This window comes from Homo sapiens, chromosome 7 (assembly GCF_000001405.40).
Source record: "Homo sapiens chromosome 7, GRCh38.p14 Primary Assembly".
NCBI classification, from domain to species: Eukaryota; Metazoa; Chordata; class Mammalia; order Primates; family Hominidae; genus Homo; species Homo sapiens.
In genome coordinates, this window is record NC_000007.14 from 112,458,250 (window position 1) to 112,470,372 (window position 12,123).

The window sequence follows — 12,123 nt, forward strand, 5'->3', positions numbered from 1 at the left end:
TACCTTTATATAAATGTATTTTTTGTACCACTGCATTCCAGCTTGGGCGACAGAGTGAGACCCTGTCTCAAAAAAAAAAAAAAATAAATAAAGTTAATAAATGTATTTTTTACGGTTTTAAAGAGTTATTTTTAATCCCGTATTTATTTTTAAAAATGTTGGTAGGGAAACCCTGAAGGTTTACCTAATGGACTGTGTACATCCGAAATGCTTAGGAGATTAATTCAAGGGCAATTTGAGCACTGTTTATATGAGTACATTAAGGAGTTTGAAGATAGAAATTGGCTTGAAACACATTTAGTTGAACTGTTAAAATAATCCCTTAAGATAGATACTAATCTCCATTTTACAGATGAGGAATTCTATTTAGAGAATAAGAGTAACTAATCGATGATCATTTGGCTAATAAGTGGGATCTAGGATTTGAGTGAGGTCTGTTTCTATAGTTTGAGCTCTTTAGCCTAAGTTTGTAACTTACATCAAAGCCTGGAGCATGGGGTTTCAAAAATGGTAAATGCTATTTTGTCATTGATCAAATTTGGGAAATAACTGTCTTAGTAAGTTAGTCTACTGAAAAGACTATCGTGATTGCATCTTGGCTGCTTTTATAGGTAAGAGTGATGAGCAACGTGCAGCTGCAGCGTTAGCATCTGTTCTTTGTATTCAGCTGGGCCCTGGAATTGAAAGTGAAGAGATTTTGAAAACTCTTGGACCAATCCTAAAGAAAATCATTTGTGATGGGTCAGCTAGTATGCAGGCTAGGCAAACTGTAAGTATAAGATATTTACATTTATAGATCTGTCTATTCATGACACCCAGACGTGGTGCGCCTATAGTACTGTACCAGCTACTCAAGAGGCTGAGGCAAGAGAGAGGATCTTGTAAGTCCAGGAGTTTGAGGCAGCGGTGAGCTATAATCATGCCACTGAACTGTAGCCTGGGAGACAAAGCTACACACTGTATTTTAACAACAACAACAAAAAAGATAATTCTATATTTATGGATTTGGGTAGACATAGGAAACTGAAATTCTGATTTGTGAAAGTCTTCTAATTTTGGGGTTTGAGAAAGCTTTCATTCTCTAATTGTTGGATGTTTACCTCTTGCAACACTTGACTTTAGATTTTGGGTTTTGGGGGTTTTATTTTTTGTTTTTGGTGCGGTAATAAGTGATACAAGTGATCATATGGAGATGTTTTACTGTGTCACAGAAAACAGAAGACACTGAGGTGGTCTTAGTGGATTTGGAAAAATAACATGTGATCCTAAGCTGTTTTTTTAAACAAGTGAATCAGTTTAAGCTTGAAACATTTTAATACTTTTAATATTTATTATCCAAATCCAGCTTCCTTGTTAGTATTACTTAAGGTAAGTAATAATGTTACTTAAGGTAAGTAACATTAATCTTTGTCTAAGTAGCTTGGTAAAAATTTATTTCTTCTTCTTATCATCACCACCCAATGTAAATTGGCTGGAACCCCAGGCCTCCACTGCAGCTCTGCCCACCTCTAGGTTCTCTCGATATGGCAGCCAGGGTAGCTAGGTGACAGACTCAGCCAGAGCACATCACTTTTGCATCTAGTTCCTTGGCTTACCAGCCACCTGGAGGCTGGGAATAGTCTAGCTGTTTGCCCTGGAGGCAAAGAAATTGGAGTTTGGCAACTTCATAGTAATCTCTGTGCCCTCCAGTAGTTAGTAATTCTGAAATATTTAATTAGCTTTTGCTACTTAACTTTTTCTTTTCTTCTTTTTGGGTGAATATGTGCAGCTTTTAAATCATGTGGAACTATTGGTATAATTTCATGCTAGAATGACAGAAAACACTCTGCTGGGTAGATTTTTGGAGCAGTCACTTAATTTTGATTGTATGTAAGTTTTTTTGTCATTTAAAGACTTTTTTTTCCATACTTCCAAGTTGCTGTGAATTTTTAAAAAACCTTAGCCTCCCCATTTAGCAGATGGAATCCATATTAAATTGAGGCAGTCCTAGGGTTTTTTTTTTTTTTTTTTTTTTTGACAAGGTCTCACTCTGTTACCCAGGCTGGAGTACAGTAGCACAATCATGGCTCACTGCAGCCTCCACCTCCTGGGCTCAGGTTATCCTCCTGCCTCAGCCTCCTGAGTAGCTGGGACTATAGGCATGTACCACCATGTCTGGCTCGCTTTTAATATTTTGTAGAGATGGGTCTTGCTGTATTGCCCAGGCTGGCCTTGAGCTCCTGGGCTCAAGTGATCCTCCTGCTTTGGTCTCTCAAAAGTGTTGAGATTATGGGTGTGAGCCACCGCACCCAGCCAGTCCTAGTTCTTTAATTGGCTGTTTTTCTTAGAGTCATCAAAAGGAACGATGTAGCCTTGCTTCTGCTGCTTGCTTAGCAGTAGGGATTATGGATTGAAAATTTCCTTTAATGCTTAGGCTACTTTTAGATTTTAACAGTGTCCAATTTTTACTAGGATGATATAATGACAATAAAATAGTGATACCAAGCAGATTAATATCACAGATATCCTCATAGTACTGGAACAGACTGGCTAAAACCTGGGCCTGATACCAATGGTGACTTTAAAGACTTAAAGCTTTAATAATGCTTAGAACAACATGAGGGAATTTTAGTGACAAAATGTGGAGAAAGGGGAAATGGAGAATAATAAAATCTCAGATTACAAATTCTATTTTTATATGGATTAATTTGTTAAAACAAATGTTCTGAGAATTGAAGGCTTCTGTTTATGTTGCAAGTAGATGGCTTGTGTAAGTGTTGTGTTCTGAGTATGTTTTATTCGATAAGCTTTACCTTTGTAATCATATACTATACTCACTTTTGTTTAGCCCTTCCCCTCCCCAAACAAAAGGCAATTATATGATTCCCAGCCTCTTTTCAGCATAATCCAGAATAAGTGAAATCTGAGTTAATGGGATTAATTAATTAATTAGGTGGGAAGTTTGAAGACAATTATTTACATTTTATGAAATTTCTGCTCCTGTGTGCTTATTTCTTGGAAGCTGATTTCTTTTAGAAGTTTTCATAGTAGAGTCTTCATAAGAACAAAAGAATATAGTTGTAACAGCTTAAAAACCAATGGAATTGTAATGTGTTTTAAAGGCTTTTTGATAGAGGGTAGGCTTCTTTAGCTCATATGTCTAAGCTTTCTATCTTTGAATTACAGTTGAAGTTTAATGATCTAGTAAGCACCTGTAAAGCATACAGAAAGGAAACAAGGGGATAGTTCACCCTTTCAGAATGCTTTACTGACATAGACTCATAAAAATGATTCAATAATTTAAATTATAGATTATGGAGCTGCAATTGTTTCAGAAATTATGTAATTCTTTTGCATGCTTTTGATTTTATGGATCAATAAAAGAAGACTGAAGAGGAACAGAATCACTTTGTTAAAGTCATGCTGTGAATTTAGTAGCAGAGCTTGAGCTGAAACGCACTTCCTTTGATCTTAGTTCAATATTCTTTCTCTCCTCACCTCTTTTATGTATAATGTTTGGGACCTAATATATTATGCTGCTGAGAACATTTTCACGTTGAATTATAAAAGCAGGAAGATGTAGAATTAATAAGAAATAAAATCATTAATGTCTATATATATATATTTTTTTTTTTAGTGTGCAACTTGCTTTGGTGTTTGCTGTTTTATTGCCACAGATGACATTACTGTAAGTAAAAAACCTTTGATTCTAGTTATCTGCAGTTATTTCTAATTTAAGATGGTTATCTTACTTCATATTCTTATGCATTAGGAACTATACTCAACTCTGGAATGTTTGGAAAATATCTTCACTAAATCCTATCTCAAAGAGAAAGACACTACTGTTATTTGCAGCACTCCTAATACAGTGCTTCATATCAGCTCTCTTCTTGCATGGACACTACTGCTGACCATATGCCCAATCAATGAAGTGAAGAAAAAGCTTGAGATGTATGTATTTTTAGTTTCATATTTTATAAAAGCAACATTTAGTGGACATAATTGGTTGTATTCACATAGTAATGACTAACTATTTTTTAGGCATTTCCATAAGCTTCCAAGCCTCCTCTCTTGTGATGATGTAAACATGAGAATAGCTGCTGGTGAATCTTTGGCACTTCTCTTTGAATTGGCCAGAGGAATAGAGAGTGTAAGTATCTAACTGGCAGAGGAAAAAGCTTGTGTCACAAGGCCCATTGTTCCATCATTACCTTGCAATTGAGAATTGGGCAATAACTTTGGAACATGGCCAGCTTGAGAACCCAGTGATTTATTTCCCTACTTCTTGGCAGTGGTGGTGTAATACTTTAGAGAGCAGAAACCAGTAGGGGTTGGTACAGCAGTGTTTGACTGTGGTTCATTATACTTAATTTTTGCTATCTATAGAACTGAAGTTTAGGGATCCTCATGGAGAGAGTTTTGTCTAATATAATCTTTATGAAACTGCTTGAATTTCTCAGATACCCAATACATCAAGCTAATGAAGGCATGTGATGCTTCATAATTAATATCAAACAAATGAATAAAATATTAAGTCAGCATAGGTTTGGGATGAGATGGGTTCAGTAACTTCTCTAAGCCAAAGATGGAAATAAACACTGCTCATTAAGACTGGGACATGTGCTTTGCAGTTACCCATTCACTTGTCCACTCACAGATGTTAGTTACCATGGCTTGGCTCTCGAAGGGATTTGAGTTTGTGATAGTTTGATCAGTCGACCCAATTTGCTTTGTACCTGTTTTTGGTTTAGCACTTACCATCTTATGTTCCAGGAAATCCTTTATCTCGGGCAAACTGGGTCATTTGGTAACCCTAATTTGTCATCTCTATTTTAAGGATTGCTAAGAGAAAGGAATGCCTCAAATCTTACCATTGGAAGGGAGAATGTATTCTTAAGATATGTGATTCAGATACTGTGCTGATATTTAGAAATGAGGAGCAGGTTTGACTGTCTTCACACTGAATCTGTGAAGGATCCAATAAGAAAACTCAAATATATGGGAAATGGGTAACTAAATAGTAGATATTATTGCCAACCTTGAATTACTTACTAGATGCTTTTTAATTTAAGGAGAAAGAATATATTTTCATTCTGAAACTTTTTTGCATTTAAAGAAGTTATTTAACAGTGAACGGTTCCAAACAGGATTAATACAGTTCTGCCATGTATAGTCATTCATATTCCATTCTAGGCCTGTATTGAAGGAAGTTTACAGTCTTAAAATTTTTATGTGTAAAGTGGCTCTCTCCAACTCCCCTACACTCCTTTTGTTTGAGGGATAGTAGGTAGGAATGGAAAGTAAGTTAATGTTGTCAGTAGCTAATAATTCTCCTTATGTGAGAAATTGGACTCAAATTTAGCAATCAATTTAATTTTATTGAGCTAGTTAATAGCTTCTTAACCTCAACGCATGGAAACCAGATGTCCCAATTTTTAATCTTACATTCCTCTACTGGCCAGAAATGGCAGTTTCTTTTCTTTTTTTTCCTTGGAAATGCATTTTTAAAATGAAGTCATAATGCAGTTTAAATTATACATGTTGAATTTGTTTAAGTTTGTATAAACATATATATAGACACATACATACATGTATATACATATACATATATATACACATTTATATACACACACACACACACACACACACACACACACACACACACACCCCACGTATCTTTTCTCCAACTTAATAAATTACACAGGATAACCAGGAGAACTCATCCAGACATATTTCATTTGACTTGAATTTTTATCCAAGGACAAAAATGAACTGGGTTACAAAACAGAACCTAGTGTTTTTATTTGCTTTTTTTTTTTTTTTTTAAAATAAGCTTTTTATATGTGGGTGCTGGTTGGGGGATAGTTATAGGGTGTTCAAAAATTAAATCCAGGGCGTTAGTGAAATACATAGACAGATTTAAAATAGGGTTCATACAGCAAATGAGTTTTGAATTATTCAAGGCTTTTTGCTAACTGACTTTCTGATGTTACTAACTTTGAAATCTAGTGATGTCATGAATTCTGCCTGAGAGACTTAGAAAAAAAACTTTTGAAGAGCTAACTTTTAGGTTGGATTTTAATGAATGAGTTGGTTAAATAATAATAATAAACTGTGTTCAAAGTTGAAATTAGTAATTATTACTCCTTTATGAGAGTTCTAGGTTAATGGATGTTTGCCATATAACCAATTAGATAATAGTAGACTCTGGAGCTGTTCTGCCTACCTTCGGATCTCTTTCTCTCTTACTAGTTGGATAATATTGGGCAACTTCTCTATGCCTCGGTGTCCTTATCATTAAAATGGATAAATTATTAGTCACAACCTCATAGAGTTTTTGAGAACACATGATAGGTACAGTGTAAGTGTTAGCTGTTACTTGGAATGTTGGTTGAATTGAGTATTGCATTTGGCAGTAGTCTACTAGTGGCCTTTTAGGAACTGTAGAGTAACTTAATATAAGAGACATTATTTGGTGGGCAGAATTAAGATCTTGGGAGCCATTGCTGGTGCAATCCTCACTTGGGAAAATTTAACAAAATATAGTTAGACCTTTTCCAGGTCTCACCCATTCCATTCCCCAGCTGAGCGGACAGGGGAAGTGCTACAGCACAGCGAGAAAAAAGATAATCAAAGACCAAATATACTCCTTGGAGCCAAATCTGAAATCACCTAGATTTTATACTTCAGAAGCAGCAACTTAGCATTCTTCTTGTTTTTTTGCCCTTGTTTGTATAATAACTGACTCTGTGTAAAAATATCTCCATACCTTGACAAAGATATTCTGCCTTGATTAGCAGGAATTGAAATAAATAAGTCTTTTTAAAGACAGGGTCTCACTCTGTTGCCCAGGCTGGAGTGCAGTGGCAAGATCATACCTCACTGCAGCCTCAGAGTTCTGGCCTCAAGCAATCCTCCCTCCTCCTTCCAAAGTGTTGGGATTATAGATACAGAGCCACTGTGTCTGGCCTCAAGTTTTATTTTAATATTAGGCTTTTGTATGATTTTTATTTCTTAATACTTAGCTATCCAAGACCCAGCTTATTTTGTTTATAATGAGTGTTCCAGTGACTTCTGTATAGAAATAATAGCTTGGGGAATGGTTAGCTTTTGTGACCTTAAGCATCTCACCCTGTCTGCCTAAACTTTTCTGGAAATTTTCTTTGGTTTCATTTCATCCTAATTCCATTCAACTTTTGAAACCATTTAATTGGTAACTGTTATTTTGCTATGAAATAATTATCTTCAGCTGACCAGTTTGTTGTATTTATATTGTGTTAGATTCTGTTGTATTTATATTGTGTTAGGTTCAAACAGGCTGTTCATAACAGTAAGATCTATAACTTAATGGATGTTTATGTCCTGTGTTTTATATATTTCTAATAGTTCATTTCCCTATAAAAAACCTAGGAGATGTGGGTGGTAATAACTGTTATATAAGAGGAGCCTGAGACAGATTGCTAATGTAGTGCTGCCTGAGGTTGTATAGATCTACATGGTGGATGCTTGTGATTCAAACCTAGATGTTCTGACTGCAAAACCTATGTCTTAAATATGGTATTAAACTGCCTCGTATGGTTGTGATGGCTACACAGATTTTTTTTAAAAAGGTGAGTTCTATATACCTCCAAGTCTAGAATATTGATAAAATAGTTAATGCTTCAGAATTTATTGGGGAATTTATTGTCTTTTTAATGCTTACAACCATTGTTTGAAAGGTTGGGTATTTTCTTTTTTTTCAGATGATAAAATAGATTTATAATTTATAAAACTTGGTATGGAGAGCAGTAGATTGATGATTCTGATCTAGGACTTTTGACCCTGTTGTGTAGTAATGACTGCTGGTTTTTTTTATTATTATAAGAGTATATTAAGATATTTATTTCTCTGGGAGCTCATTTCTTATTTGTCCCAGAGTGGTACAGCTCTATTATATAATTATCGTAAAGTCCTATTAATAGGCTTTTGGAAGCTGTTTATGGACTTTTTTATTACGTGTTACATTTTATTTTCTTCCTTCCTTTTTTTGTGTTTTTAATGCCCAAGTATATAGAGTCTTTTTTCTAAACTACTTAGCATTTAATTTTTCAAGTTTTAATAGGATATTGAACTTGGTGATTCACAAACTAAACTTGATTGGGTTTTATCCATTGCTAAGATTATATTACCGTGAAGTTTTTCAATCTCAGCACGCACTGTTGATATTTTGGGCTGGATTATATTTTGTCATTGTAGGGGTGGGGGCTGTCTTGTGCATTGAAAGATACTTTGCAGCATCCTTGGCTTCTCCCCACTAGGTGCCGATAGCACCCCCTTCTCCTAGTTGTGACAACCAAAAATGTCTCAGACATAGTCAGATGTTCAATGGGAGGTAAGATCATCCCCAGTTGATAATCACTGGCAGTGATTCTCACTTCTTAGAACAAATTAAAATAATGTATAGAATTTTCTTAAATTTTGATTTATTCTTCTATACAAATTAAAAAACCCTTTACATATACATATATACACACATATATATGTTTAAAATACTGTAAAAGAACAAGTAGCCAATAAAATGAGTAGGAGACTGCTAGTCCCTGAAATGTACTTGTTTTTTATAAATAAAATTATTCCCATCTTGTTATGATGCAATCTGATTCTTTGGAATTTAAACACAGTTTGGTCTATTTTAATACCCACTTTGCATCTTATTAATGGGTGTTGTCTCTAACTTAGATATAGGAGGTTGAATTGGAACATTTGAAGAAAACATTTGTTGGAATAGTTAAGAATATGTAATTGGAAATATGACAAGAAGATATTTATGTACTTAAAAGCTAGAATATCTGTCACATTAATTTCAAGCTTATTTTCCACCAGTGTAATAATCCTTTTCATTTTAGACATTAAAAGAAACCAAGAAGGCCTAGAAGAGCTGTTATATTAATATAATAAGTTAAATGATTCTTAACCTCTAATGCAATAAATGTTAAACATGTATGAATAAACTAGAACTGGAGATTGCCCATCTCCTGGCTTCTTAGTAAGAAGTGTCTGTTCTAGTTTTGATCAGCTAAATAAGTTTGACTCATTTTTTAGTTTTTAGTGTGGTTGTAAAATGGAGTTAGGAAATAAAAACACCTCAAATAAAGAGACTTCTTAAATGCATAGCCACGTTAACTGTGACAAGGAAGCCCATAATCTGCTTAAGGTCACAGCAAATTTCAATACATTTTGCAGCTGTCCCCCAAAAGGGATTAAAACTTGTTCTTACCTTAAATAATTTAATCACCTGAATTATGTGCTTTATTGCTTATTTGAAATATGGCAGTAAATTAGAAAGTAGATGCTTTAATTGTAGCTTTATGCCTTTGGGATAAGAATAATTGGAAGTCTGTGAATGTTTGGTTTGGGGACTGGGGAGCCAAGGGTAGAAGCTATATTGGTATATCTGTCTCTCACTGAACTTTGAAATCCCAGTAATGTCTTATATATGGTGGGAACACAAGAAATATTTGTTGGATGCATTTACTTGGAAGGGAAATGTTAATTGTTTTGCTGTAGTACATCATCTTGTAGTCAGCATTTCTGGGTTCGATTTTTGCATGAAAACATGTGTTTATGTGTGCCTAGTCCCTAAATACCATGAAGATTTACATTGCCTTATGCAACTGGATATTTTCCAAATGTAGACTGTTCTTTGTTAGCTCTATATGAGGTCAGAAAAGAAAAATAATAATAAAGGAAACAAAATTGCTTTTCTTGTCCAGGACTTTTTTTATGAAGACATGGAGTCCTTGACGCAGATGCTTAGGGCCTTGGCAACAGATGGAAATAAACACCGGGCCAAAGTGGACAAGAGAAAGCAGCGGTCAGTTTTCAGAGATGTCCTGAGGGCAGTGGAGGTAGGCTTCTTAAATGCTGTAATAGCTTCTCATTTTGAAATTGGATTGTTTCAGGCTGAACTTGACAATTGTACCATTTTGTTGATTGAATTTCACCTTTGAAAATAATTTCTCATTTTACGACCTAGCAGGTTTTTAACAATATAAGTGAAGACTTTTTTTTTTTCAAAACAAAAGAAAATTAATGCTGGTGTATAAAGATACTTTATTTTAGTTTTTTTTCTTTTAAATAAAAAGACCCATAGTGATAGAAATGTATTTGACCTTGGTGTATTTGTCATCATTTAAACCATGGTGCTTAGCATATACATTCTTAGTGTACAGTGTTTTTTGTGAATTTAATAAGTTATTGCCTACCCCTTAGACTCCAACCCAGCTTGATTGTCATTTATTTATTTATTTGAGATGGAGTCTCGCTGTGTTGCCCAGACTGGAGTGCAGTGGCACGATCTTGGCTCACTGCAACCTCCGCCTCCCGGGTTCAAGTAATTCTTTGCCTCAGCCTCCTGAGTAGCTGGGATTACAGGTGCCCACCACCATATCCGGCTAATTTTTTGTATTTTTAGTAGAGACAGGGTTTCACCATCTTGGCCAGGCTGGTCTTGAACTCCTGACCTTGTGATCCACCCGCATCGGCCTTCCAAAGTGCTGGGATTACAGGCGTGAGCCACCGTGCCAGAGATCTTCATGATCTTTCTAGGAAAGCTGGAGGCTAAAAACCGAAATAACAAAACCCAGCATTTTAACAAGGCCACTTAAAATCATTATCTGATGCTTGAATTTCTTCTGTAATCCTCAAACCTGTTTCAATCTATATGGCAAATAAATTGGTTTAGAATGCATGGCTAAAATGAACTATAGGACAAAAGATATCTCACTGGAGAAAACTGAAAACTTTAATAATTGTTTTTTGGTAGGCCAGGTAAATATTTTTTGGTAGGCCAGGTAAATTGTTTTTGGTAGGCCAGGTAAATATTTCTTGGATTTGAAGGGTGTGTTTCTTAGATTATTGCTATCTGATACAGCAGTTATTTTAAGAATATCATCAAAATGTCATTCAACTTGATGTGTGTGTGAAAATTTAAAATGAGAATTTAAACTGGAGATGGTGAGACCCCACCCCAGATCCAGTTTTAATATGTTCCAGTGAATTCTTATATATACCCTACTTTCCTAATTTTAATCTATTTTTAGAAAAGTAAAATCTAGGATACAAATTAGATCCTTTGGGATCTAAATACTTTTGGTTAATGCTGACTCTTATCACATTATAGTAGGATTTTATATTTACTCTGGATTTTATAGTCTAAAAAACAAAAAAACCCCTAACTCGAGCAAATATCAATATTAAGAATTAAAAATTAGTCTTATAATTAGTGTGGCAGTATCTCTAAAGTAAGCCATTTTCTTTAAGTAACTATAAACTATTCCTATATTTGATTTTTTTTTGAGTTACTGTAGTCTCCAAAGATATGATGACATGTCCTAGATTTTCTGGATGGACCTGATTTCAAGTTTTCTGCCCTCATGCATCCCCTTTGAGTAGTAGATTGTAAGGGTCTCTACTGGCCCTCAAACCGGGCCAGCCATAGCACTCAGTACTGATTATTCAGAGGAAGACACAAGTGACGTTTCAGCTTACACCAGTATTAACAGCCCTTTGTTGTGTATTCCTCAGGCACTGTTAAATGGAAACCATTCCTATCCCATAGTGATCTACCCGCCCACCTTCTTTTCTTCATCTCAGGATCTCCCTTGTCCCTCCAGCCTCTGCTTCAATGCACCTGCCTGAGAAAGGCCTGTCCTCAGGGCTTTGCTGAGAGTTGTTTCTCTTTTTTTTTTTTTCACTGGAACCTAGCTTTTTCTGGAGCACCCAGCTTCTCGGATGGGTCTTTAAATGAAGGTTGCTCAACTGCCACAAAGGATATGTAAACATCTTAGTTGTGGTAGTGGCTGCCACACCATTTCTTTTTATTTAAAACATTTCTTGAGGCTCACGGATTCCTCAAATCAGCAAGCACTTAATGTTTTAGGTGTTTTGCCATACAGTTTTCTTATCTCATTATACCTCTTAAGCAATAGAATAGTCTCCTTCTAAAGGAGAAATGGGGACCAAAGGAATACAGAATAGTTAAGTAGCAGAGCTGAAATTTGAACCCACTGTTCTGTGCTCTTTGAGCATGGCCAAATCCTATATACAGATAGGTCAAGTGAGAAAGTAACGTTTCACTTAGGTCCGTCGATTAGGTCCTTGGTG

The 12,123-nt window shown here is 35.3% G+C and overlaps 1 protein-coding gene across 5 annotated transcripts in view; it reads left to right on the top strand.

Annotated features, from left to right (window-relative positions):
• The window catches only part of IFRD1 (interferon related developmental regulator 1), a 54,030-nt gene that overhangs the window by 35,076 nt on the left and 6,831 nt on the right, over positions 1 to 12,123 (top strand). For 4 of the 5 annotated variants that reach the window (NM_001007245.3, NM_001197080.2, NM_001550.4 and 1 more), the window contains 5 exons: positions 612 to 769; positions 3,617 to 3,667; positions 3,752 to 3,930; positions 4,021 to 4,129; positions 9,732 to 9,866. In NM_001007245.3, coding sequence (NP_001007246.1) covers positions 612 to 769; positions 3,617 to 3,667; positions 3,752 to 3,930; positions 4,021 to 4,129; positions 9,732 to 9,866 — 632 coding nt within the window. The remainder of the gene's footprint in view (positions 1 to 611; positions 770 to 3,616; positions 3,668 to 3,751; positions 3,931 to 4,020; positions 4,130 to 9,731; positions 9,867 to 12,123) is intronic. The other variant, NR_120333.1, reaches the window with a different exon arrangement.